This window comes from Homo sapiens, chromosome 1 (assembly GCF_000001405.40).
Source record: "Homo sapiens chromosome 1, GRCh38.p14 Primary Assembly".
Taxonomy (NCBI): domain Eukaryota; kingdom Metazoa; phylum Chordata; class Mammalia; order Primates; family Hominidae; genus Homo; species Homo sapiens.
Window position 1 is genome coordinate 161,258,568 of NC_000001.11, and position 26,896 is coordinate 161,285,463.

The 26,896-nt window shown below is 45.9% G+C and overlaps 1 protein-coding gene and 1 long non-coding RNA gene across 5 annotated transcripts, besides 1 other annotated feature; one reads left to right on the top strand and one right to left on the bottom strand.

The window, feature by feature from the left end:
- Positions 1-177: 177 nt before the first annotated feature.
- On the top strand, positions 178-26,883 carry PCP4L1 (Purkinje cell protein 4 like 1). 2 transcript variants are annotated; one of them, XM_017002154.3, is made up of 3 exons: positions 178-692; positions 25,101-25,155; positions 25,772-26,883. In XM_017002154.3, the coding sequence occupies exons 1-3, from the start codon at positions 675-677 to the stop codon at positions 25,912-25,914; spliced, it is 216 nt and encodes a 71-aa protein (XP_016857643.1). In that variant the 5' UTR covers positions 178-674; the 3' UTR covers positions 25,915-26,883. The 2 variants fall into 2 exon arrangements, with proteins under 2 accessions (XP_016857643.1, NP_001096036.1); NM_001102566.2 differs by having other exon boundaries at positions 178-416.
- Positions 546-1,046: an enhancer, noted in NCBI's record as "H3K4me1 hESC enhancer chr1:161228903-161229403 (GRCh37/hg19 assembly coordinates)". NCBI's record gives its function as "activates a minimal SCP1, AML or CMV promoter by ChIP-STARR-seq in naive H9 embryonic stem cells {active_cell/tissue: H9 hESC(naive)}" and the evidence as "EXISTENCE:reporter gene assay evidence [ECO:0000049][PMID:30033119]".
- Positions 20,898-25,776, bottom strand: LOC105371472 (uncharacterized). Of its 3 annotated transcripts, none has more exons than XR_922213.2 (2): positions 23,135-25,776; positions 20,898-21,425 (listed from the first exon to the last, which is right to left on the bottom strand). It is a non-coding gene; the product is annotated as an uncharacterized LOC105371472 (long non-coding RNA). The 3 variants fall into 3 exon arrangements; XR_922211.2 differs by having other exon boundaries at positions 23,172-23,205; XR_922210.2 differs by lacking the exon at positions 23,135-25,776 and adding an exon at positions 22,127-22,313.
- Positions 26,884-26,896: the final 13 nt, after the last annotated feature.

The window sequence follows — 26,896 nt, forward strand, 5'->3', positions numbered from 1 at the left end:
GGTCTCCCCCTCCTTCCCGCTCTCTGTCTTACCCTAGTTTGGAAATGCAGCAGACCTCTAAACCTGCCAGCATTGGATGCAAGAGGCTGTCATTCTACGGTAGGAGGAGCTTCTATTGGTCGGGCTGGAGGCGGGTACCGAGCTGAGTATAAAAGGTGGGGCCGGAGGCGGCGAGCTGAGCGGCTCTGACAGGACGGGTCGCAGGGGGTCGCCTGGCCGGAGCTGGGCTCCGAGAATCCCGGGTGCCAGCACCAGAGCAGCGGCTCTCCGCACTAACTCTCCTCTCCTGGTCAGCTGTAACCCCTGCCGCAGAGCCCGGCAACTTTCAGCTGTCGCCCGCGGAGCCCCGAGGGCCACTCGCCTCACCTGTGCGTGCAGCGCCTCGCGCGCCCTGTCCGGCTGCGGAGATGAGCGAGGTGAGCGGTGCGGCCCCCGGCGCTGTCGGCAGGGCTGCGGCGGGGAGGGTGCTGCGGCTCGGGATCCCAGGGAGGCGAGGGAGAGCGAGGCAGACCGGAGCCGCGAAGAACCCTCCAGGGGCGCCCCACTGCCCTCCTAGGAAAGCTCCCACCTCGGGGCGCTGGGAAACGATTGGAAGACGGGGTGCTTTCAGTCTCCCTACTGTGGACGGCGCTTTTGGGGGTAATTGGAATCGGCTGTAGAGTCCGGAAGCGGGGATGCTGAGCTCTCAGGTGGTAGGTCATCCCCTCTGGATACTGCCCCCTGCATCTGTCTTACTGCCCGAGATTATTCTGGCTCCCCTTACCCCCCTCACTTCGCTTCTGTCCTCTCTCTCCTAGGGATGTAAGGCACTCACATTCCTTCTGTAGCATCTAACAAGAACTCCATCCCTGGCCCCCGGGGAGGGCCACTGTGCCCCTTTTAGAAAGGTGGCATCCTGCCCTCCACTCATTCAGTCAGGAACGTTGGAGGGACGTGTTCCGGTATTTAGAAGCCCCTGCCAGTTGCTGGGGAGATTTCCCCTTCAAGAATAGACCTCCCTCTGCAGTGCTTGTTACAAACTAGGTCTTCCGGCAGGCTCTGTGGTGTTCACCGTGGCCAGACCCAGGCCATTAACTGATTTACTGTTTTCAAAGAACACTGTTCATGGGGTGGGGGAGTGGGGGGTCAAAGCAGAGACTTTGGAAAGACGTCTCCTATTGTCTATTTGTAGGCACAGTCTCATCTCCAGAAACAAGGATCAGCCTTTCCAAGTGAAGTCAGTCTGGTTAGTGGCATCACAAGCTTGCCCTCTGCAACCTCTTTCCTAGTACCCACATCGTTGTGTTAAATCCAACTCCTCTGCTATATGTCAGATATGTATGTAGGCCAGCTACTTACCTGTGATGTAGCCTTAGGCAAAGTACAAAACCTTTGTTTCATTTTTTGTCTGTAAAATGGGGATAATACTGGTTGTTGTAATAATTAAATGAGATAATATATGCCAAATACTTGAAACAGGACCTGGCACTCAATCTATATTAGCTATTATCTTTCTGTTTCTTTTTTCTTCCTCTCCCATTAGAGTATTACAGAAATTTAACAGAAGAATTCCCAAAGACATTAGATTACTGAAGGAATAGGACCCTGGAGCCTGGGTTCCAGTTTAGATACTAAAAATGAAGATCTCTATGACTCCTACCAAAAGTTGTCACCCAGGGAGCTAATTAGTGCCAACTGCTGTGTTGTCTTGGTTGCCGTGTTCACTAATTTTATCCTGGAAAATTCGGCTAGTCTGGGGGCTGCAGATGAACCAAAGTGGTTTCCAGTCCCTCAGCTGGTTGTGACTCTGATGATGGCAATCTTTCAGAAAGAAAAGAAAAAAACGCATCAACCTCCTCTTTCACCTCTAATGTGGGAAGAGAGGTTTTCTTTGCCCCTTTTCACTGAGGTCTAGGGTTCATACTACTCCTCCCACCCCGAGCATTTCTAAATCTGAAAGTTGTAATCCAAGCCATCCCCTGGGAGTTTGTGATCTGAAGGCTATGCCAACGTGAGGATTTGCAGTTAGCCTGTGTTTTCTGGGGTAAGTGCACAGCCCCTTTGTAGGACACACTACAGGGGCTGGCATTTAGAGTGGTATTTGGTGGAATGAGAAGCCTGTTTTGTAGCAAAGGAAACAATTCGGTGTTTGAGGAGAAAGCCAAGTCCGCTCCCTCCTGACTCAGCAGCTGAATTTGGTTAGCCTTCATCAGGGGCTCAGTAGAATGATGAGAGAAGGATCCACGGATGGAGACTATCAGTGTACCCAAGTCTGCCCAGCCTCCTAGGCTATCAGAGCAAACTGGTTTTAACTAGCAATTTAGTCATAGAAGCTGTCTCCTAATACAGAGCTGAGCCTGGTCTTAGGGATGAATACTTATAAAATCCAGAAGCAGCTGTCTCTGAATCAGGTCACAAAGGGGTCTCTGCTTCTCTAGGGGCCGAGATCCAGCCTGTTTTCTTCCTCTTGTAAAAGCTATGGTAAAAGGTGGAAGTGTTGCCCAGAGCTCTAGGGAGACTCCAAACTGCTTCATTTCTCTCAGGCCAGCCCCATGGGGCTCCTCTTTCAGGTGGAAGAGCCCCGCCCAGGAAAGCCCTGTGTACCTTGAATCTTACGTAAGTTTCACCTCCCCCAACTGCTTATTTTCTTGCTTCAGAGAAAGTGCATGAAGTGAGACAATTTGGGATGTCTTTAAGAGACTCCTATTTCAACTGAAGAACAAAACCAGGGAGGAGTCTCCAGACCTAGAACAACCAACAGTGCAGGGGTTCTGGTGGGGCTGCTGGGGAGGATCTCTGGCTCTGCCTTGCCTTTGTGGCTCTTTGCTGTCACTCATTACTGCAGTAGAGCATTTCCCTGTGAGTGTGTGTGTGCGTTCGTGCACGAAGGAGCTGCAGGGACTCATCTCCAATTTGTCTGCATTCACAGCTGCAGGCGGGACTTGATTGCTGTGGATCACACTCTATCTCCTGTGGTTTAATAACTTTTCCCTAGTTTCAGTGAAGGATGGGAATGAGAGATGTGTTCAGTCCCTGAGGGCTCTTCCCTATAATCCTTTTTCATACAGTGTAGCTGGCTGCTTAAAGCAGAATTGCAGGTTCTTTTGTAATCCTGTTGTATTTCTCATCTGCGAGAAGCCTAGCTAGGGGAATCCCTTGGTCCAGCAGTCGTTCTGCTGAAATGGGAGTCATGGACCATTGGTGACAGTCTTCATGGTGTCTGTCCTGTGTTTTGGCTGGCAGGGGCTGGGGCAAGGGACAGATCAACTAGAAATATCATTTAGGGGAGAGCTTAGACCTGGTGCTCCTTCATTATCCTGTTTGCTCTCTTCTTATCTAATGAGAATGGGATATCACACTTTGGAGATCCACACACTCTTTCCTGTGCACATCTGTCTGCATCTGCCACCTTCCCAACAAGGGAAGTTCAGTCAGAGTGATACTATTCTGTTATGTCTCCTGTGAACCAGTTGTTAGGGAACCTGGTGTGGACTTGGAGGAGATCCAAGTTTCTCTCTCTCATTGGTATGTTACTTTTATTATGGTTATATTGGATATACAAAATAGAAAGTCTAGTCACTTACTGCTATTGAAATGCCTTCTACCGGCCAGGCGCGGTGGCTCACGCGTGTAATCCCAACACTTGGGGAGGCCAAGGTGGGTGGATCATGAGGTCAGGAGATCGAGACCATCCTGGCTAACATGGTGAAACCCCATCTCTACTAAAAATACAAAAAATTAGCCAGGCATGGTGGCAGGCGCCTGTAGTCCCAGCTACTCGGGAGGCTGAGGCAGGAGAATGGCATGAACCCGGGAGGCGGAGCTTGCAGTGAGCCGAGATCGCACCACTGCACTCCAGCCTGGGCGACAGAGCGAGACTCCATCTCAAAAAAAAAAAAAAAAAAAAAAAGAAATGCCTTCTACCTCTGGAAACATCTGCGTTGGAGTGAGGAAAATGAGAACTTGCTCATCCCTTTCTTAGTCTCCCATTTATGTTGCTGGTTTTAGCTGCTTAGGCAGGAGCCTCTGACTGGTAGAAGTGGATGACTTTGTCATCCTGTGACCTGGAAATATGGATGATTCTTTCTCTCAACTACAGCTGTGATTTGTTAGCTCTGAGAATGTCATCTTTATAGGGTCAGGCAGCCATAAGTAATATGGCTGAAGTCCAAGTGCACAAACTTGATGCATCTTTCATGTCTGCCTATGGAGGGTCTTAACTGATGGAAGTGGTGGAGATAGAGTTGCAGGCAGAGAGGATGAAGAAAGATGAATAATTGTCTCTTCAAGGTGGTGGTTCTATGCATGCCTCCCACTATTTTCTTTTTACTTTTCTATATTTCTAAATTGTCTTTCATGAGTCTATTTTATCATAGAGAAAAATAAACTTAGTTCTGCAAAAAATTCTTCAAAATAGAAAGATATATCTTTCACCCAGAAAACCTCAAATAAAATATCAAAACATTTTAGTGATGCGATTTTAGATTTGTTAAGGAACGCTAAAGATCATCTGGTCCAATATTCTCATTTTACAGGTGAGAAAACTGGGGCCCAAAACTTATCTAAGTTTACACTGTACTAGAACCAAGGCTAGGGCACTGTACTTCTGACTTCTCATTCCAAAAGAACATTCCACAAGACTCCTTTAACATTTTACTTCAGTAAATACAGGGTTTTTGTTTTTGTTTTTGTTTTTGTTTTTTTTTGGGTTGGAGTCTTGCACTGTTGCCAGGGCTGGCTGGAGTGCAATGGTGAATCTCGGCTCGCTGCAACCTCCACCTCCGGGGTTCATGCAATTCTCCTGCCTCAGCCTCCCAAGTAGCTGGGATTACAGGCACTCGCCACCACGCCCGGCTAATTTTTTGTATTTTTAGTAGAGATGGGGTTTCACTATGTTGGCCAGACTGGTCTCGAACTCCTGACCTCAAGTGATCTGCCCACCTCGGCTCCCAAAGTGCTGGGATTACAGGGGTGAGCCACTGTGCCTGGCCACAGAATTATTTGATTAGCATGTAAACTTTTAATGAATATATTTCAAGTACTTTTTTTTTTTTTTTGAGACAATATCTCTGTCACCCAGGCTGGAGTACAGTGGCATGATCATGGCTCACTGCAGCCTCAAGCTCCTGGACTTAAGCAATCTTCCCACCTCAGCATCCCTTGTAGCTGGGACCACAGGTACACGTCACCATGCCTGCTTAATTTTTTTTGTATTTTTTGTAGAGACAGGTTTCACCACGTTGCCCATGCTGGTCTCGAACTCCTGAGCTCAAGCAGTTCACCCATCTCAGCCTCCCAAAGAGCTGGGATTACAGGCATGAGCTACCATGCTTGGCCTCAATACTTTCTTTCCTTTTTTTTTTTTTTTTTTTTTTTTTTTTGAGATGGAGTCTCACTCTGTCGCCCAAGCTGGAGTGCAGTGGCGCCATTTTGGCTCACTGCAATCTCTGCCTCCTGGCTTCAAGTGATTCTCCTGCCTCAGCCTCCCAAGTAGCTGAGATTACAGGCGTGTATCACCAGGCCCGGGTAATTTTTGTATTTTTTTTAGTAGAGACGAGATTTCACTATGTTGACCAGGCTGGTCTGAAACTCCTGGCCTCAAGTGATCCACCTGTCTTGGTCTCCCAAAGTGCTGGGATTACAGGCATGAGCCACCATGCCTAGCCTCAAGTACTTTTTATAAGAAATATAGGCTGGGCACTGTGGCTCATGCCTGTAATCCCAGCATTTGGGAGGCCAAGGTAGGTGGATAACGAGGTCAGGAGTTCGAGACCAGCCTGGCCAACATGGTGAAACCCCGTCTCTATTAAAACTACAAAAATTAGCCAGGTGTGGTGGCAGCCACCTGTAATCACAGCTACTCGGGAGGCTGAGCCAGGAGAATTGCTTGAACCTGGGAGGCAGAAGTTGCAGTGAGCCGAGATAGCACCACTGCACTCCAGCCTGTGACAGAGTAAGACTCTGTCTAAGAAAAAAAAGAAAAAGAAATATAAGCAATGTAGCTGAGTGTGGTGGTTCACGCCTGTAATCCCAGCACTTTGGGAGGCTGAAGCAGGAGGACTGCTTGAGCTCAGGAGTTTGAGACGAGCCTGGGCAACATGACAAAACCCTGTCTCTACTAAAAATTAAAAAATTAGCTGGGCATGGTGGCACATGCCTGTGATCCCAGTTACGTGGGAGGCTGAAGTAGGAGGATCTCTTGAGCCTGGGAGGTCAAGGCTGCAGTGAGCCGTGATGGCACCACTACACTCCAGCCTGGGCGATAGAGTGAGACCCTGTCTCTCACAAACACGAAAAAGAAATATAAGCAGTGTGATCTAATAATGCTGAGCAAGAGGATAGAGACAGGAGACCAACATTAGATAATATTTTATCAACAGGGTACATTCTGGTAGAATACTAGTCAGGGCAGGTACTATCCATCATTACGCAGGATGCCTAGTCACCTTAAAAATGGGTGCAGAAAATTGGGTGGAGTAGGTAAGCTGATAGGAGTGAAGGAAGTAGGGAGCCTGGAGGCCCTCTTTTCATGAGTTCTTAATTTCAATGTTCATCATTGATTCCCATAATTGCAGGCAAGCAGGTGTCTAAGTAAAATTGGTGCACCTGATGAACAAACAGCCTCTGGGTATTCAGTCCTCTTTCGTTTGGCCGTTTGACTTCCAAGTCAGGAGTTCAAAGGCTTTGGGAAGAGAATGGTAAGGCCAGATGTGATGGCTCATACCTATTATCCCAGCACTTTGGAAGGCTGAGGTGGGAGGATTGCTTCAGCCCAGGAGTTTGAGACTAGCCTGGGCACCATAGCAAGACCCCGTCTTTACAAAAAATAAAAAATTAGCCAGATATGGTGGTGTGCATCTGTAGTCCCAGCTACTTGGGAGGCTGAGGTGGTGCTTGAGTCCAGGAGATCAAGCTGCAGTGAGCCGTGATTGTGCCACTGCATTCCAGCTTAGGCAACAGAGCACGACCCTGTCTCAGGGAAAAAAAAGCAAGAAGATGGGGAAGGAAGAATGAGAAGAATGCATTAGGCTGGCAAGGTAAGTGATGAAATCTTACTGGGATTCAAGCATCCTGAGTGCATGATTTTCTAAATCCATACTCCGACCTGCTGCTCAAAATGGCTTGACTTGCGTTGGAATTATTTTAGTTACAAAAGTAAGCTAAATCAGAGCAGATCCAAAACCACTTTTTTTTTTTTTTTTTTTTTTTTTGAGACAGTTTCGCTCTTGTTGCCCAGGCTGGAGTGCAGTGGCATGATCTCGTCTCACTGCAACCTCACCTCCCGGGTTCAAGCAATTCTCCTGCCTCAGCCTCCCAAGTAGCTGGGATTACAGGCACCCAACACCACGCCCGGCTAATTTTTTTGTATTTTTAGTAGAGACTGGGTTTCATCATGTTGGCCAGGCTGATCTCAAACTCCTGACCTCAGGTGATCCACCTGCCTCGGCCTCCCAAAGTGCTGGGATTATGGGTGTGAGCCACCATGCTGGCCTCAAAACCACTTTTCTAAGAGATCTGCATCCCTGAAAGGTGCCCATAAACAGGTACCTAGAAATCTAGACCTTGTCACAGTCTCCTCACTGAAGGCTGATTTCTATTTCCCTCCAGGCTTATTCCCGAAGCCATGCCCAGTACCCCACCCAGGGAAAAGGGGTACATTTATCGTTCTGTTGTCCTTGGTGCTGCCTCCCTCCCACACAAAGCCCTCCAGCTGAGTGTTTGCTTTGTAGGCTGCAGCGGGGATTAATACGTTTATTTTGGGACATTAACACCATGGGTGGGATGCACATTGAAGATTATAGTAATAAATGATGCTTTGGCACTACTCTCTCTCCCCCATTCCCTAAACCTCAGTGTGGGGTGAAGGCACAGCTCTAAGCTGTGTGCAGAGCACCACAAATAACCACTCATTAAACTGTGGCAGCCCATGCTGGGGGGAACAGGCTGGGGCTGTTGACTCACTGCATACCATGAGCTGGCATGGCCAAGGAATTCTGCCTCTGACTCCAGTTGGGGGTACTTCTATTCCAGGAAACAGGGATGGGGTGGCTAAGGGGAGAATCAGACAAGGGGGCTTGGGAGCTAGGGTTGTTTAGGTTCTATTTTTGTCTCAGGATGCATCTGAGATATAGGGCATTGGGGGAAATAGTATATATATTAAGAGAGGAATGTGTGTATGTAGAACCTGCAGTAAGGATTCCTAGTTCTTTTTCTGTTATTATCTTGAGGGTGACCTTGAGCAAGTCTTTCTGAAGCTGTTTAAGGACTGCAGCTGGTTGCTGCACTGAAAGAATTGAAATGGTTCCAACGGTGCTCCAAAAACAGCAGTCTAGGGTCTTCCAGGGGCACTAGAGGATCCCAGAGGCCTCTATAAGGTTTTTTAGCAGTTACTTTCATTTAACATTGGAGGAGAATATGTCAGAAGGGATAAAAGGGTCCCAGGGTGGAGTGGGAGGGTGCAAAGCCTCTTTGTCGCCACTTGGAAGCAGATCCACTAACTCTCCTGTCCCCCTTCACTTCCTGCACCTCTAGAACAAGCAGGGAGCTTAGGAAGCCTAGGATTTATGTCAATACAAAGGCAAGGAAAGGGATTTTTAAAGGCTAGAATTTAGGATTTTTAGGATTCAGTCCCTTTTTAGGTTTCTCTGCCTTGGACTGTAGGACAGGATTCTGAGTTCCTGTGTGTATTCATCCAAACTAAGTATTCTGGCAGTAAGTACCAAAATGTGTTTATAATGTGTTTTTATTTACACAGCACCCAAGCTATGTCATGCAAATACAGGTATAGGTAGTCTAGGTATGATGAGGTGATCCTTGTTCCTGTCTGTTGCTGCTGTTGACAGCCTGTGATCTCTCTTTAAAGAGCCCAGTGGGCTGAGGAATATGGGGAAATCTGGATAGTTTATCTTTTCCAAGGTTCTAACTCACTGCTTGGAGCAGAAGGGGCAACACTATCTTCCCTTTTCTGGTGACAGTGGTTGCTGTGGCAACGCTATTAAAGATGAAAGCCACAAAGGAAGGAGGAAACACAGCCCAAGAAGGGAGCGGGGAAGATTGGGCCTAGAGTTATAGGGGATCTGTTCCCCAGTAGTGGCAGCAGGAAAACAGCACCAAAGTTGCTACCGTTTTGAATGTCTAGGTGCTTGCTACCACAATACTATGTTTTGTTTTTGTTTTTTTAGACAGAGTCTGGCTCTGTTGCCTAGGCTGGAGTGGAGTGCAGTGGTGCGATGTTGGCTCACCGTGACCTCTGCCTCCCAGGTTTAAGCAATTTTCCCACCTCAGCCTCCTGAGTAGCTGGGATTACAGGTGCCCACCACCATGCCCGGCTAATTTTTGTATTTTTAGTAGAGACAGGGTTTCACCATGTTGGCCAGGCTGGTCTCAAACTCCTGACCTCAGGTGATCCCCCTGCCTTGGCCTCCCAAATTGTTGGAATAACAGGCGTGAGCCACCGCACCTGGCCGACAATACTATCTGGTGAGGCAAGGAATAGACTTACACAATCATTTTCATGACACAAAAGTGGACGAAAGGACTCAATCAAGGAGTATAGTTTGTTGACTCCTGAGTACTAATCTCCTTTTCCCTGTGGTGTATAACTTAAAAAAAGAGATGTCTCAGGGTTCCCAGAGGTTTAGAGCCATTCTCAGCACTTTTGGGGACAGACATTGGGAAGACAGGGAGATTGTGATTTCTAGGGCTTGTTTAGAAGGGGAAAAAAAAAAGTATTTATGAAACTCCTACGGTAGCAGAATAAGCCTCCAGGGCCCTTCGAGCAATCCCAGGTATTCTCTTCCTCTTTCAGTTCCACTTAGAGAAAAACTACTCTGTGGCAACTCCACTCTCTGATTCTAGTATTTTAACCCTGCAATAAATACCTCAGCATCTTGACCTAAACCTATTCTTATATTCAACCCCAGGTTATATTACTTTGGAATAATAACTATTTATTGTAATATGTGCTATGTATTTTACATACATTTTTCTCTGGTTCCTTTTACCTTTTTTTTTTTTTTTTTTTGAGATGGAGTCTCGCTCTTGTTGCCCAGGAGTGCAATGGCACGATCTCAGCTCACTGCAACCTCTACCTCCCAGGTTCAAGTGATTCTCCTGCTTCAGCCTCCCAGATAGCTGGGATTACAGGCATGCACCACCATGCCTGGCTAATTTTGTATTTTTAGTAGAGGTGGGGTTTCACCATGTTGGTCAGGCTGGTCTCGAACTCCTAACCTCAAATGATCCACCCGCCTTGGGCTCCCAAAGCCCTGGGATTACAGGCGTGAGCCACCATGCCCTGCCTTTTTACCTTTCAAGATAGATATTATCTCTCTTCTGCAGATGAGCGATCTGAGCACAGCAAAGCTAAGTAATTTACCCAATGTCACACAGCTAGGAATGACAGAGCTGAGATTTGAACAGATAGTCAATGCAGATCCAGGGTATGAATCCAGATCTGTCTGACTAGTGTGCCACATTGCTGCTCCCAGGAATTTGAAGCCTAACAGAATTTTATTTTATTTTTTTTCTTTTATCCTCATCCTCTATGTAATGGTAAGGCCTAAGCAAATTTTAATTCACATAAATATCCATTAAGTACCTACTATTACAAGACATGGGTTGTAGTTATTGTAGCCTAGACATAAACAAATGGAAAACATGGACTGTGCTTCAAAGGAAATAAAATCTATCAGGGTGCTGAGGGTGGGGAAGGGGGGGTAAGACATTACCTGTACCTGTAGTACAGGTAATATGAAATATACTTCATGAGAAGGTCTTTCCTTCATTCTCAGCTCTTTTTCAGGCACATATGTTAAAGTGAAGGAAAGCAATGACTTGGCTTCTGAATCCCTTTTCCACAACCTCTGAACTGGCTACAGAATGGAGGCCTTCAACTTCTGAAAACAAATTTGATTTCAGAAGTTTAGATGAGGTTGCAAATAAAACAGAGAGCTCCCTTCATTTATTTAAAAAATTATTAGTGTAAATCATATGTAAAGGATCAAAAAGGATCAATAGGAATTAATGATACAAAAAGGAGGCAGGGATAAGAGAACCATATGCCAAGGTCCTGAGGTGGGAAGGAACATAGTATGTTCCAGAGATGAGGTTATTGAGGTAATCAGAGGCTGAACAATGTAGAGCCTTTTAGGCCGTATTAAGGATTTTGGGCTGAGTGTGGTAGCTCACACCTATAATCCCAGCACTTTGGGAGGCCGAGGCAGGAGTACTGCCTGAGTCCAGGAGTTTGAGACCAGCCTGGGCAACATGGCAAAAACCCATCTCTACAAAAAATACAAATATTAGCCGGGTGTAGTGGTGTGTGGCTGTGGTCCCAGCTACTCAGGAAGCTGAGGTGTGAGGATTGCTTGAGCCCAGGAGGCCAAGGCTGCAGTGAGCTGAGATTGTACCATTGCATTCCAGCCTGGGCAACAGAATAAGACCTTGTCTCAAAAAAAAAAAATAAGGACTGGGCGTGGTGGCTCACGCCTGTAATCCTAGCATTTTGGGAGGCTGAGGAAGCTGGATCACCTGAGGTCAGAAGTTCAAGACCAGCCTGGCCAACATGGTGAAACCCGGTCTCTACTAAAAATACAAAAATTAGCTGGGCATGGTGGTGCATGCCTGTAATCCCGGCTACTCGGGAGGCTGAGGCAGGAGAATTGCTTGAACTCAGGAGTCAGAGGCTGCAGTGAGCTGAGATCATGCCACTGTACTCCAGCCTGGGCAACGGAGAGAGACTCTGTCTCAAAAAATATATAATAATAAAATTAAAAAGAATTTCATCTTTTATCCTAAGAGCATCAGTAACCACTTGGGTTGTTACAATTGCTCATGTCAGAGCCAACTGTGTTAGGGTGTGCAATGGTCTGAATGTTTGTGTACCCCCAAAATCCATATATTGAAATCCTAACCCCCAAGATGATGATACTAGGAAGTGAGGGCTTTGGGAAGTGATTAGGTCATGAGGGCAGAGCCCTCATAAATGGGATTAGTACCCTTATAAAAGAGACCCCAGGCTCAAAAAAAAAAAGAGAGACCCCAGGCTAGGCGCAGTGGCTCATGCCTGTAATCCCAGTACTTTGGGAGGCTTAGGCGGGAGGATCACAAGGTCAAGAGATTGAGACCATCCTGGCCAACATGGTGAAACGCCATCTCTACTAAAAATACAAACAAAATTAGCTGGGCATGGTGGCATGTGCTTGTAGTCCCAGCTACTGGGGTAGCTGAGGCAGGAGAATTGCTTGAACCCAGGAGGTGGAGGTCGCAGTGAGCTGAAATCGTGCCACTGCACTCCAGCCTGGTGATTGATAGAGGGAGACTCCGTCTAAAAAAAAAAAAAAAGAGACCCCAAAGAGATCCCTCTCCCCTTCTACCATGTGAGGATATAGCAAAAAGATGGCCATCTACATATGGAAAGTGGGCCTCACCAGTCATTAATTCAGGTTGTTTCCAGTTTTTGGCAATTACAAGTAGAGCTGCTATAAATATTAATTTACAAATGTATGTGTGAATATAAGTTTTAATTTCTCTTGGATAAATAACTAGCAATAGGATTGCTGGTTGGTATGGTAAATGTATGCTTAAGAAATTGCCAAAGTAGCTATACCATCTTGCATTCCCACCAACAACGTATGAGAGTTCCAGTTGCTCTGTATCTTTGCCTCTACATTGTATTGCCACTAAACAGAAAATTTTTAATAGGTATGTGGTGATATCTCATTGTGGTTTTAATTTGCATTTCCCAAATGATGATGATGTTATATATCTTTTCATGTGCGTGTCATCCATGTATCTTCTTTGGTGAAATGTCTGTTCAAATATTTTGCCCATTTAAAAAAACTGTGTTTTTATTATAGAGATTTAAAAGTTCTTTCAATACTTATTCTGGATGCAAGCCTTTTATCAGATATTTGATTTGCAAACATTTTCTTCTAGTCTGTACTTTGTTTCTTTTTTTTTCCCCTCACCCCCAAGACAGAGTCTTGCTCTGTCGCCCAGGCTGGAGTGTAGTGGCATGATGTTGGCTCACTGCAACCTCTGCCTCCAGGGTTAAAGCAATTCTCCCACCTCAGCTTCCTGAGTAGCTGGGACTACAGGCACGTGCCATGACGCCCGGCTAATTTTTGTATTTTTAGTAGAAACTGGGTTTCACCATGTTGGCCAGGCTGGTCTCCAATGCCTGACCTCATGATCTGCCTGCCTTGGCCTCCCAAAGTGCTGGGATGACAAGTGTGAGCCACTGTGCCTGATCTTTTTTTCTTTTTTCTTTTTTGAGACAAGCTCTCACTCTGTCACCCAGGCTGGAGTGCAGTGGCATGATCATAGCTCACTGCAGCCTTGATCTCTGGGTTCTAGTGATCGATCCTCATACCTCAGCCTCCCGAGTAGCTGGGACTACAGGTGCATGTCACCACACTTGGACTAACCTTTTTTTTTTTTAGTGGAGACAAAGTCTATGTTGCCCAGGCTGGTCTCAAATTCTTGGCCTCAAGTGATCTGCCTGCCTTGGCTTCCCAAAATGCTGGGATTACAGGTGTGAGCCACCGTGCCCTGCCTAATTGTACATATTCATGGGGGTACATAGTGAGTGATATTTTGATACATATAACTTATAGTGATCAGATTGGGGTAATCCCTTTTTTTTTTTTTAAGCAAATTCTTCTAGATCCTGATTTCTTTTTTTCTTTTTTAAAGCATTTCCCTAAACTTTTAACATTGGTATTCCTGGGCTGGGCACAGTGGCTCACGCCTGTAATCCCAGCACTTTGGGAAGCCGAGGCGGGTAGATCATGAGGTCAGGAGTTCGAGACAAGCCTGGCCAACATGGTGAAACCCTGTCTCTACTAAAAATACAAAAATTAGCCAGGCATGGTGGTGGGCACCTGTAATCCCAGCTACGCGGGAGGCTGAGGCAGGAGAATTGCTTGAACCCTGGAGGCGGAGGTTGCAGTGAGCCGAGATCGTGCCACTGCACTCCAGCCTGGGCAACAAAAGCGAAACTCCGTCTCAAAAAAAAAAAAAAAAAAAATTGGTATTCCTCAATATTGACAATTCCTATTGTCCGAGACCTGCTTCTTTCGTCTCTAATGGTAGTTGGAAAAGAAATTCAGGTTGAGGGAGGCTTTTATTTATTTATTTATTTTTATTTAAGGATAAATATATTTATTTATCCTAAGTCATATATTTATTTACTTCTTAAGGAGAGAGGGAAGCTTTATATGTGAGAGAGTAAAGGGAACTGATTGTCAAGATTCCTGAGGAGGAGAAGGGTGATGGGATCTAGAGCTCAGATGGAAGGACAAGACATCATCTGACAAATGCTCTGGGAGGAGGCAGATAGGCAAGTGTGTGGTGCTTCTCTTTCCTGGAAGTGGGAGGAAATGAAAAGGGTAGGTACTCCTGGGGAAAGTATTAGGGAAAGGAGGAATGTTACTATGTCATGTTCCTCTCTGCAATCTCAAAGCCGAAAGAAAAAAAGACCCTTAAGCCAACAAGACTCTCCTTCCTTTCCTTCTTCCCCATGGGAAGGGAGAATCTGCAGCTTTGAGCTGCAGAGGAAACAAAAGAGTACTCATGGGGAATTGGCAGTATCACCAAGATGATGGAATGGAACACTGGTACACATCAGGCTCAGAGGCAAGGATTAAAGAAATATAGGAAGGTAGGCAAGGAAAGCAACTAAAACCCTCTAGGGAAAATAAATTAAGGAAAAGAAGGAGTTGATGGGCCTCACAGTTGCTAATTAGTGTTTGGTATCTATTGAGAAGTGAGAAACATTTAGTCCTGGCTGGGGAGGGTGTGGGTGGCTCACACCTGTAATCCCAGCACTTTAGGAGGCTGAGGCTGGAGTATTGCTTGAGTGAGAACCTGTTTCAAAACAAACAAACAAACAAAACCCCCAAAGTCCCATTCAGTCCTATGTGGGCAGTGAGGCTGAACGAACCAAGCTCCAAGCTCACTAGAAACTTGGAATAACAGGCTTGAATGACAGTGAGGGAGGCATTTGAAATGGAAGCCAGTAGAATGATCCTACACATGGAATTCTCAGACTCTGAAGGGCTGGGTTCTGGCTCTGGGAGTAAAGAATGTAAACTATGGCTGTCCTCCAGGAGTCAGCCTCGTGTATCAGGAGGCCCACTGAGCAAACATTAAGATGAAAACCAGAATCAGGGTGATTAGATCAATTAGAGCAGAAATCTGAGTGATAGGCGTGGTCTGGGATCAGGTTGTCAAATATTAATAACATGTAAAATTGCCCCATAATGGCAGGACTGGACCCTGTTCCCCAAGTTCCCTTTGGAGTATATGTGAAGATAGCATTGTATACGCATGCACATACATACTCATACATCCCCATACTTTTGATTGGAGATTGAGAGATAGTGTAGGATAATGATCAAGAGCATGGATTCTAGAGCCAGACTGCCTGGGTTCAAATCCTAGCTTTGTGGTTTGTTTGTTCTATGGCTTTGGGCAAGATAACCTCTCAACTTCAATTTCCTTCTCTGTGAAATAGAAATAATAATTATACCTATTTTATAGGGCTGTTATAATCATTCAACGTGTTAGTGTTTATAAAGTACTTAGAAAAGTAGCTGGCACATAGTGTATTATATATGATTGTTCATAAAGTAAAGCGAGGTGACATTCTGAAATCCTTGATTTCTTCCAGTTCCCCCAGTTGGGTCCTATAAGGAGAAGGAAGGATTTCCTAAACCATGTCATTGTTGTTATTTCTGGTCAGAAAAGCTCAGTATCGAAAGGAGTAGAAGGCTAGGCACTCCAGCCTGGGTGACAAGAGCAAAACTCTGTCTCAAAAAAAAGAAAAGGAGTAGAAGAGCACCTGAGAGGTTTGTGATCCATACCTGGCTAGAATGAGGAGCTGAGAAGTGCTGACCTGTTACAGCTCTTGCAGTTTGGCCTCACTCCTCTGCAGGTATGAGTTTTTGTGAGAAACACTAGAGTATGTGGTCTCTGGTCCCAGGGTGTACCTCTGTGCCTCCTTTGTTTATGTGAAGTATGGTTAGTCTGATGGCTTGCAGATGCGTATACCAGAGGACCTTAATTCATCTAAAATTGCTGCGTTTCTGGAAGATAAACAGGAGGGTTGAGGCAGAGACCAGAGACTAATAAAGGACTGAGCACCACATAGAGGGTGGGAGCAGACAACTTGTGATCTAACTGCCCCCACCCCTAACCTCAGCAAATCACAAACAACTAAATCCAGAAGAGTGTCCAGAGTGGCTATTTCGAGAACTGGCTAGAAAGAGGGAAGAGGGGCAGGAGGTAAAAGCTCCTGCACCCCTTTCAGTGGAAGGTAAAAGGGAAATTTCAAGGGGCATTGTGAGTAATAGGAGTTTTCTTCTCCTTGCAGCATCCTTTGCTGGTTTCCCAAGTGGAGACCCCACTTTTAGATTATTATCTCTCATAAATTTAACCTAAATGGAGCTAGAAACCCCGGGGGGTGGGGGGACCAGATGGCAGCTGAGCCACTGCTCCATTCCAGGGCCAGTGATCTCCAGAGAGACTTGGGAGGGAAGCAGCTGGCAGGGCAGAGGGAAAGTGGCAGCCTGTGTGGTTTAGTCCTGACACACATTCCTGCTTATTCTCAAGGTCTGCTGATATGAGAAGGAATGTAGAGGAAACAGCCACCTGAGGGAAGATATTTAGAATCAGAGTCCAGTGGCCGGGTGTGGTGGCTCACGTCTGTAATCCCAGCACTTTGGGAGGCTGAGGCAGGCGGATCACGAGGTCAGGAGATCAAGACCATCCTGGCTAACACGGTGAAACCCCGTCTCTACTAAAAATACAAAAAATCAGCCAGGTGTGGTGGCGGGCGCCTGTAGTCCCAGCTACTCGGGAGGCTGAGGCAGGAGAATGGCATGAACCCAGGAGGCAGAGCTTGCAATGGGCCGAGATCGCGCCACTGCACTCTAGTCTGGGCGACAGAGCAAGACTCCGTCTCAAAAAAAAAAAAAAAAAAAGAATCAGAGTCCAGATTTTCCTTCAAAGAGGAGGGGTTGGGGTGAGAGAAAAGATCTGATGGATTAAGGGAATAGGCTTAGAGTCAGACAGAGGGATAATGGCTAAATCATAGATCAGAGTCCGAGATTTACTGGCAAAAGAGAGCATAGGATTTGAAGTCAGAGATCATGAGACTATAGAACTTGCCTCTTAACCTATGATCCTCTTGTCTGGACAGTTGCTGTTATCCTATTAACTGCATACTCCATCTAGGTCATACTTTTTTTTTTTTTTTTTTTGAGACAGAGTCTTGCTCTGTCACCCAGGTTGGAGTGCAGTGGTGTGATCTCAGCTCATTGCAACCTCCGCCTCCCTGGTTCAAGCAGTTCTCCTGCCCCAGCCTCCCCAGTAGCTGGGATTACATTTGCCTGCCACCACGCCCAGCTAATTTTGTGTTTTTAGTAGAGATGGGGTTTCGCCATGTTGGCCAGGCTGGTCTCGAACTCCTGACCTCAAATGATCCGCCTGCTTCGGCCTCCCAAAGTGCTGGGATTACAGGTGTGAGCCACTGTGCCCGGCCAGGTCATATTTTTACAGTGTGGACAAACCTCTTGTGATGACAGTATTCCTGTGGAAGGTGTCACCTCAGTAACTATTGGGACATTTTATCGATTATGTGCAAAATTAAGCAAAGAAAAACATTTGACCACAGGGGGATTATGGGGAGAGAAAGAGTAACAACTGGGTCAGTCTCCTAAGTCTCAGGAACAGTCCTTCCTCTCATGGAATCTTTCTTTTGGTCAAAGGGGAACAAGCAGGAATTCCATAGGGTTTCAGGAACACCTTTATGTATGTTCTTCCAGATTTTAAAATGAAAATACATATGGGCCTGGCGTGGTGGCTTGTGCCTTTAATCCCAGCTCTTTGGGAGGCTGAGATAGGAGGATTGCTTGAGTCCAGGAGTTTGAAACCAGCCTGGGAAGCATAGCAAGACCCAGTCTCTACAAAAAATACAAAAATTACCCAGGTATAGTGGTGTGCCTGTAGTCCCAGCTACCTGCAAGGCTGAGGTGCGAGGATCGCTGGAGCCTGGGAGATCAAGGCTGCAGTGAGACATGATTGTGCCACTGCACTCCAGCCTGGGTGACAAAGCAAGACTTATCTCTTAAAAAAAAAAAAAAGGAAAATATGTGTGTGTGTGTATATATATATGTGTGTGTGTGTATATATGTGTATATATGTATGTATATATATAAAAAATATACATATAAATATAAACACATATGTATCTTACACAAAATTTGGACCATATAAAGTTATAACTGAGTTTGAAAAACTTGCCCATGTCAAATACAATATCGCATTAGCATTTTTAATAATTTTTTTCTAAATTATTATTTTCTTTCCCCCTAATGTTTTATTGGAACCATTTACCAGAAATGAAAGAATAGTTCAAGCCAGGTGCAGTGGCATTACACCTATTATCTCAGCTATTTAGGAGGCTGAGGAGGAAGAACTGCTTGAGCCCACCAGTTTGAGACCAACCTGGGCAGCATAGTGAGACCCCATCTCGAACAAACAAATAATTAGAGTTAATAAATGATTTCAGCAAAGTTGTTGGATACAAGATCAATATATAAAAATCAGTGGTGTCTCTAAACACTATCAATGAAAACTCCAAAAAAGGAAATTAAAGCAATCCCTTAAGGAAAGAAAAAATAGTTCAGTACATATCCACGTCTTCCACTTAGATTCAGTAATTGTTAACATATTAGCATATTTGTGTCAGCATGTGACAATATTTGGTCTTATGGAGACAGTACAGCCTGTTGGCTAGGAGTATGGAGTCGGTCTACCTGGGTTCCAAAGCCAGGTTCACTGTTTTCTATTGTGTGATTTGACTTGGGCAAGTTCCTCAACATCTTTCTAAGCCTGTTTTCCTTAACTATAAAATAGGGTGCCATCTTCTTAGAGATTTCAGAGGATTAAATGGGATAATGTTTGATATATAATAAACAATACATATTATTTGGGTCCTTATCTCCTCTAAAATCACTTAGCCTGGAAGATAGGAAGAGTATCTTGATTGGTTTCACCTTAAATTCACAGCCATTAACCCCCAATGTGCCCTTTGTGCTATCTGGTAATCCTGCTACATCTTTAGGGTCTAGTTGTGTTGCCTAGGCTGGTCTTGGACCCCTGGGCTTAGGTGATCCTCCTGCCTCATCCTATATCTCACCAGCTCACTCGCTCTCTTACTTTCTTAGATAATCCTTTCAGTCATTCTCCTCTTTCCTCAAACATTTAATACTTCCGTGCCTTCTTCACTCTCAGCTGACAACTGTCTTTCGTGTTTCATTGAGACAATGGAAACAATCAGAAGAAAACTTTTATACATTTCTACGTCTGCCACCTTTCCTGCATCTATTCCTTCATTCCTATATTGTAGATAAACTGTCTGTATTCTTATCGAAGGGCAACCCCTCCACTTATGCACCAGATCTATTTCCTCTTGCCTATTCAAGATATCACTCTGGTAATTATCCCCTCTCCTGTATCATCAGTTTTTTTCTTCCTTACTAAATCATTTCCATCAGCATTTAAAATCCCCCATCTTACCAAGCCCTCCCATAACCCCACATTCATCTCCAACTAATGTCCAATTCCTCCACCGCCCTTTAAAGAAAGGCTCTTTGATAGAGCTCTCTGTACTGAAAAATATACAGGCAGATCCAGCTTATTTTACCATGAAACTTGTCTCAAGTCTTAGTATTTCCTATTATCTCCATCACTACCACCCTAGTCCAGGCCCCATCATCTTGCTTGTACCATTGCAAGACTCTCTTGTTTTCCCTGGTTTCTTGTACCTCTATTTTCTTTCTTTCTTTCCTTCTTTCCTTCCTTCCTTCTTTTTTTTCTTTTCTTTTCTTTTTCTTTCGAGATGGGGTCTCGCTATGTTGCCTGGGCTGGTCATGAACTCCTGGGCTCAAGTGATCCTCCCATGTCAGCCTCCCAAAGTGCTGGGATTATAGGCATGAGCCACCACGCCCAGCCAGTAGTCTTTTTTCTACCCATCTGTCAGAACAATCCTTTAAAAACATGACAGACCATGTTTTCCTCTGCCCCAAAACCTATAATGCCTTTTCATCAGCTCAGAAAAAAATCGAAATTCTTTGTCCTGTTCCAAAGACACATATTCTGGCTATCTACCTAACCTCATTTCTTATACTCTCTCCCTTACATAGCTCCAGCCATGATGGTCTTTCTTTCTCTTTCCTCTTCCCCTTCCCATTCCCTCACTCTTGTTGCTGAGGCTGGAGTGCAGTGGCGCAATCTCAGCTCACTGCAACCTCCGCCTTCCAGGCTCAAGTGATCCTCCCATCTCAGCCTCCTGAGTAGCTGGGACCACAAGTGCACGCCACCATGCTTGATTAATTTTTGTAGTTTTTGTAGAGATTGGGTTTCACCATGTTGCCCAGGCTGGTCTCAAACTCCTGGACTCAAGCAATCCGCCCACCTTGGCCTCCCAAAGTGCTGAGATTACAGGCATGAGCCACTGCATCTGGCCCATGATGATTTTTTTTACTCTTCCTTGAACATACAGGCACAAACCTGCTTCAGGGACTTTCTAGTTGATATTTCATCTGCCCAGAGGATCTTTTCCCACACATTCACATATCTTATTCTTACATCGTCATTAAAGCCTCTACTCAAATGTCAGTCTTCAGAGAGACTTTCCTAGACTACTCTGCTTTATTTTCTTTCATGGCATTTGTCACTAACTGATGTATTTGTTGAATAAGTGCAGGGACTTTCTTTTGCTCACTGCTGTATGCCCAACACCTAGAACAATACTTGCCATGTGATTAGGCACTGACATATTTGTTGAATGAATCTTTTGCTTCTTTTATACCTCTTGAGTGTATAGAACAGTGCTGAACACAAGTAAGTGCTTGATAAGTATTTATTGAAGTGAGATGGAAACAGCATAATCTACAGAACATAAATTGGATTCTATCAGTTTCTCAAAGCAGAACCCTTACGTCTGGCAGTCATTCAACAGAGGTCTGCATCTGTAAAATGGGGGATAATATTAAATACTCCACTAAGCTGTTCCAAGAATTAGATGAGAAAACATTTATGAAAGCACCCAGTTTTTGTATTTTGTTAAATATAAAGTACTTAAAATTGTGAGGTGAATAAACAGACTCCAAAAGTACCAAGTGCAGGAATGATTCTGTCTCCAGATGAACCATACCTTGAGACTGATGAATGTCCAGATGAAGTAGCCTTATTAATATAATTTTGAGGAAGGGGAATTACTATTTTTTTTTAAAGAGCTAGGATCTTGCTATGTCTTGCCAGGCTGGTCTTGAACTCCTGGGCTCAAGGGATCCTCCCAAGTAGCTGAGACTACAGGTTTATGCCACTGTACCTGGCCTTACTATTACGTTTAACTCTCCATCTGAGCAGGGAACCTGGGAAAAAGCATAGACATCAGCTGATTAGTCTCACTTCAAATTCATGACCTCCTGCCTTATGAGGGGCCTTAATGTCTCCAGCAATCCTATCACTGTTCCTTAGTCCATTTACTCTCCTACTTGCCTAGGTGAGTATTTCTCCCTTCCTTTCTTTAATACCTCTTCCCTCCTCCTCTTGGATGATGACCTTGTTACATATTTTACTTCAAAATATAGAAGCAGTTAGGGAGACCCTCCAAATGTTCCCTCTGCTTGCGCCAGGGCCTATAAGCTCTGCCTTCCCTCCAGTTCCTGTGGGTATCCTAGTCTAGCTCTTATTCAAGGCCAGCCCTCTACTGATGCACTAGATCTCACCCCCTCTCTCCTATTCCAGTAATGATTCTCTTTCTCTCCTACAGTTTTTCCTTGTCTACTGGATCATTTCCATAAGAACACAAACATTCTGTAATTTCTGTCATCTTAAATAAAATCTTCTTGTGACCTCATGTCTGCCAAAAGTTATGCCCCCATTCCCATTTTTGGAATTCCTTCTATATTTGCTGCTGCAATTCCTCTCTTCCTTTTCCCTCTTGAGCCCATTACAATCATGCCCTCCCCTTGCTCCCCTCCTTCATGGACACTTCTCTTATCAGTGTCACCAGTGATCTCCCCATAGCAAAACTCAATGGTCAATCCAGTTCTCATCTTACTTGGCTTACCTGCAGAATTAGACATAGTCATTCTCTACTCCCTGAAATATTTTCTTCACGTGGCTTCCACATTACTGTAATCTCTTGGCTTTTCTCCTACCTGGCTTCTTCTCCATCCTGTTGATTTTTCTTAATTTCTACAATTCTTTTTTTTTAATGTTATTTATTTTATTTTTATTGATCATTCTTGGGTGTTTCTCGCAGAGGGGGATTTGGCAGGGTCATAGGACAATAGTGGAGGGAAGGTCAGCAGATAAACAAGTGAACAAAGGTCTCTGGTTTTCCTAGGCAGAGGACCCTGAGGCCTTCTGCAGTGTTTGTGTCCCTGGGTACTTGAGATTAGGGAGTGGTGATGACTCTTAACGAGCATGCTGCCTTCAAGAATCTGTTTAACAAAGCACATCTTGCACCGCCCCTAATCCATTTAACCCTGAGTGGACACAGCACATGTTTCAGAGAGCACAGGGTTGGGGGTAAGGTCATAGATCAACAGGATCCCAAGGCAGAAGAATTTTTCTTAGTACAGAACAAAATGAAAAGTCTCCCATGTCTACTTCTTTCTACACAGACACAGCAACCATCCGATTTCTCAATCTTTTCCCCACCTTTCCCCCTTTTCTATTCCACAAAACCGCCATTGTCATCATGGCCCGTTCTCAATGAGCTGTTGGGTACACCTCCCAGATGGGGTGGTGGCCGGGCAGAGGGGCTCCTCACTTCCCACAAGGGGCGGCCGGGCAGAGGCGCCCCCACCTCCCGGACGGGGCGGCTGGCCAGGCGGAGGCGCCCCCCACCTCCCTCCCGGACTGGGCGGCTGGCCGGGCGGGGGCTGACCCCCCACCTCCCTCCCGGACGGGGCAGCTGGCCGGGCGGGGGCTGATCCCCACCTCCCTCCCGGACGGGGCAGCTGGCCAGGAGGGGGCTGACCCCCACCTCCCTCCCGGACGGGGTGGCTGCCGGGCAGAGATGCTCCTCACTTCCCAGACGGGGTGGCTGCCGGGCGGAGGGGCTCCTCACTTCTCAGACGGGGCGGCCGGGCAGAGACGCTCCTCACCTCCCAGACGGGGTCACGGCCGGGCAGAGGCGCTCCTCACATCCCGGACGGGGCGGCGGGGCAGAGGCGCTCCTCACATCCCGGACGGGGCGGCGGGGCAGAGGCGCTCCCCACATCTCAGACGATGGGTGGCCGGGCAGAGACGCTCCTCACTTCCTAGACGGGATGGCGGCCGGGAAGAGGCGCTCCTCACATCCCAGACGATGGGCGGCCAGGCAGAGACGCTCCTCACTTCCCAGATGGGGTGGCAGCCAGGCAGAGGCTGCAATCTCGGCACTTTGGGAGGCCAAGGCAGGCTGCTGGGAGATGGAGGTTGTAGCAAGCGGAGATCATGCCACTGCACTCCAGCCGGGGCACCATTGAGCACTGAGTGAACAAGACTCCGTCTGCAATCCCGGCACCTCGGGAGGCCGAGGCTGGCGGATCACTCGCGGTTAGGAGCTGGAGACCAGCCCGACCAACACAGCGAAACCCTGTCTCCACCAAAAAAATACGAAAACCAGTCAGGCGTGGCGGCGCGCGCCTGCAATAGCAGGCACTCGGCAGGCTGAGGCAGGAGAATCAGGCAGGGAGGTTGCAGTGAGCCGAGATGGCAGCAGTACAGTCCAGCTTCAGCTGGGCATCAGAGGGAGAGCGTGGAAAGAGAGGGAGAGGGAGACCGTGGGGAGAGGGAGAGGGAGGGGGAGGGGGAGGGAGAGGGAGAAGGATTTTTACAATTCTAATCACTGGGATACCTCAGGATTTTATCCTCTTCTCTATCTGAACTCAGTTTCTTGGTGATCCCATTCAGTCTCATGGCTTTAAATGCTATCCATATATCAATAGCTCCCTAACTGATATCTATAGCCCAGGCCCTTCTCTTTAACTCATCTTGACTATTCAACTGTTTATAAAAGCATCTTCTCTTGGATAATTAATAGCCATCTCAAATTTGTTAAAAAATAAGCTCCTTATCCTCCCCCTAAAACCTCCTCTCCCTGTTTTCTACATCTCAGGAAACGGCAGCTCTATTTTTTTCAGATCATCAGGCCAAAATTTGGAATCATCCTTGACCCCTCTCTTTCTCACAATGCCATCTTTCGAATCAACAAATCATATTGGTCATAGCTGGAAAATATACCCAGAATCCAACCATTTACCATCTTCATCGCCACCATGCTGATTCAAGCTACCATCGTCTCTTGCTTGGTTTTCTGCAATAACCTCTTAACAGATTTTTCTGCATCCTTTCTCTTTCCCTTTTATGCAAATCAGAGGTCTCCAGCAACTCCTCATCTCACTTGTAGTAACAGTCAAACTCCTTAAAAAGACTTCTAAAGCCCTACATAATCTGCTTCCACCCCCAGTTAACTCTGTTCTCATCTCCATTAATCTTTCCTCTTTCCTCTCTCCACTCCAACTACACTGGTCTGCTATTCCTCAGACAGGCTAGTCACACTTCCAACCCAGAGCCCTTGAAAACTCCTGCCAGATATCTATGAGCCTTACTTCCTCATCTCCTTCAGCTATTTGGTCAAATGCTGCTTTTCAGAGAGGCTGTTCCTGACTACTCTATGTAAAACTGTATTCCTCCATTTCCACCCCAGTACTTACTATTTCCTTTCGCTACCTTTTCTCCATAGCACTTATCATCATAGTAGTCATTTTATGTGCTTTATTTGTCTCTATATACACTGGAATGTAAGCTCCATGAGGGCAGAATTTCTTTGTCTGTTTTGTCCTCTACACTTTCTAGCATCAGTAAATCTTTGCTGGATGAATTTTGATAACTTTTCCTCTGGTCTCTGATCTCAAGACTTGCTTCTTCAAAAGACTAAGGGAATGCACCTGGTAATAGGGTTTGAGAGTATATAAGAGGTCTAAGGTGATGATGCCTTCAAATTACTTCCATGAATATCTAATATTCTGATATCCTAATATTTTTTCCAGCTTAATACCAAAACATCCCCAGCAACCAACCAGGCAGCTGGCCAAGAGGAAAAAGGTGAGTGGGGTTGGGCTAGGCAGTTTGTAGAGCAGGTGACTGTAGAGACATAAAGACAAGTAGGGTGAGTCTGGAATTTCCTAAAGTCAGACATGAAAGGAATAAGAATGTGGATAAGTGAAACAAAGTACCAGTTTGGAACTACAGTACTATATCTATAGGCTTCCTTCTATTTTTCCTAGAAAGTAAACGATCAGTATTTCCTCCTTGATTTTAGAAACTGGGTCTGGAGTGTTGGGGGGAGAGAGGTACAAGATAAGAAGAAACTCATCAAAAGTCCCAGCATTATCTCCATCAGAAACTGAGAGAAAGCTGAGGAAAGTGAGTGTGCATTGGAACTTGAACTGTAGGATTTATGAATAAGTGATGAAAGAAGACATTTGTTGTTTGGTCCAAGAGTAGCAGAGCTCCCCTAAGTAACTATAGCTAATTCCCAGCCTAAGTACCTTGACTCAGACTTCTAGGGGAATTATCAGGCATTCATAATCCTAGCAAAAATTTGGGGACCCCACAGAGTCTGGCACAAGGTGGACCTTACCCACTGTATTGGGGGCCTGGAGAAAGGGTCTAGAGCAGGTCAGATTAACTCATTAATGAGTCTCCCAACTATCTGCAGGAAAAGCTGGCAATGTCAAGAAGGCGGAGGAGGAGGAGGAGATTGACATTGATCTGACAGCACCAGAAACAGAGAAGGCTGCCCTTGCTATTCAGGGCAAGTTCCGGCGATTTCAGAAAAGGAAAAAGGATCCCAGCTCCTGAATGGCCAGGCTTGCCCTTCACCTTCACCTTCATGCTGGTCCCTTCTCTCCCCTTCTCCACACCCATGTATCTTTATCCCTTGTCCCTCTAGCCTTTCCTTGAGGCAAGTTCAACCTTTATATACTCTTGTATCTGGCCCCCTCAAGCCATCACAGAAGTAGAGGCACAAGAGAGGTGGAGAAGATGAAGACTTCAATCAGCAGTCACTAGTCTAAGGGTGGAACAATTTCTTCTTGGTATAAGGTTCTTTGATCAGTAGCTATGCCTGCCCTGTAGGGCTAAACAAGAGGCTTCGAGGCTGAGAGATCTCCCCAAAGAACAATGTGGGAAGGAGGGGAAGGCTTTCAGAGTAGGGTGCCTGAGGGTGGGACATATGCACTGTTCTGCTAGTTACGGCATTCACACTTTAGGTAACATTTTTTTTCCCCTTCAGATCCTTCTGCACCAACTCCAACTTCCCCTCCCAGGATCTAAGCCACAGTGGGGACTGGAGCCTCGTTTTCCCCCTAGGCAGACCTAAATCAAGCAGCTTACCACAATAGTGCATGCTGAGTAGATTAGTTCCAAGGAAGGGAGACTGGAATGCTGGTGTCAAGGAAAAGCCTCCCTCATCATCTAGTCTAAGACCATAACGGGCAGAAGCATAAGAGGTTCCAGGGCCATAGGAGAATGAGAAGTAGGGCACATATAGGGAGGAAAGAAAAGTGAAGAAGGGGGAAATCTCTGAATTTTTTTACTGCTGGGAAAAGTGTACTACATGAAGGATGCTTGGGGCTTTGCTAACCTGCTCACCGCTAACCCTCCAAGTCTAACCATCCCCAGAGGCCACACAAACCAAGTGACTCCTGTAGTTCCCATTTGCCCCACTATGGAGTCAGGGCAAAAGTGGAATAGCCACTCCATGTGATTTTAGCATGTTTAATCATTTTAACAATAAACCACCCCACAAATGGGGTCATTTAACCTCTACTAATGTTTTTTT

Bases quoted from the DNA above. Each gene is read 5' to 3' on its own strand.
- PCP4L1 (XM_017002154.3), top strand. The intron at 25,156-25,771 runs GTGAGTGGGGTT...AACTATCTGCAG, and splicing joins AGCTGGCCAAGAGGAAAAAG to GAAAAGCTGGCAATGTCAAG.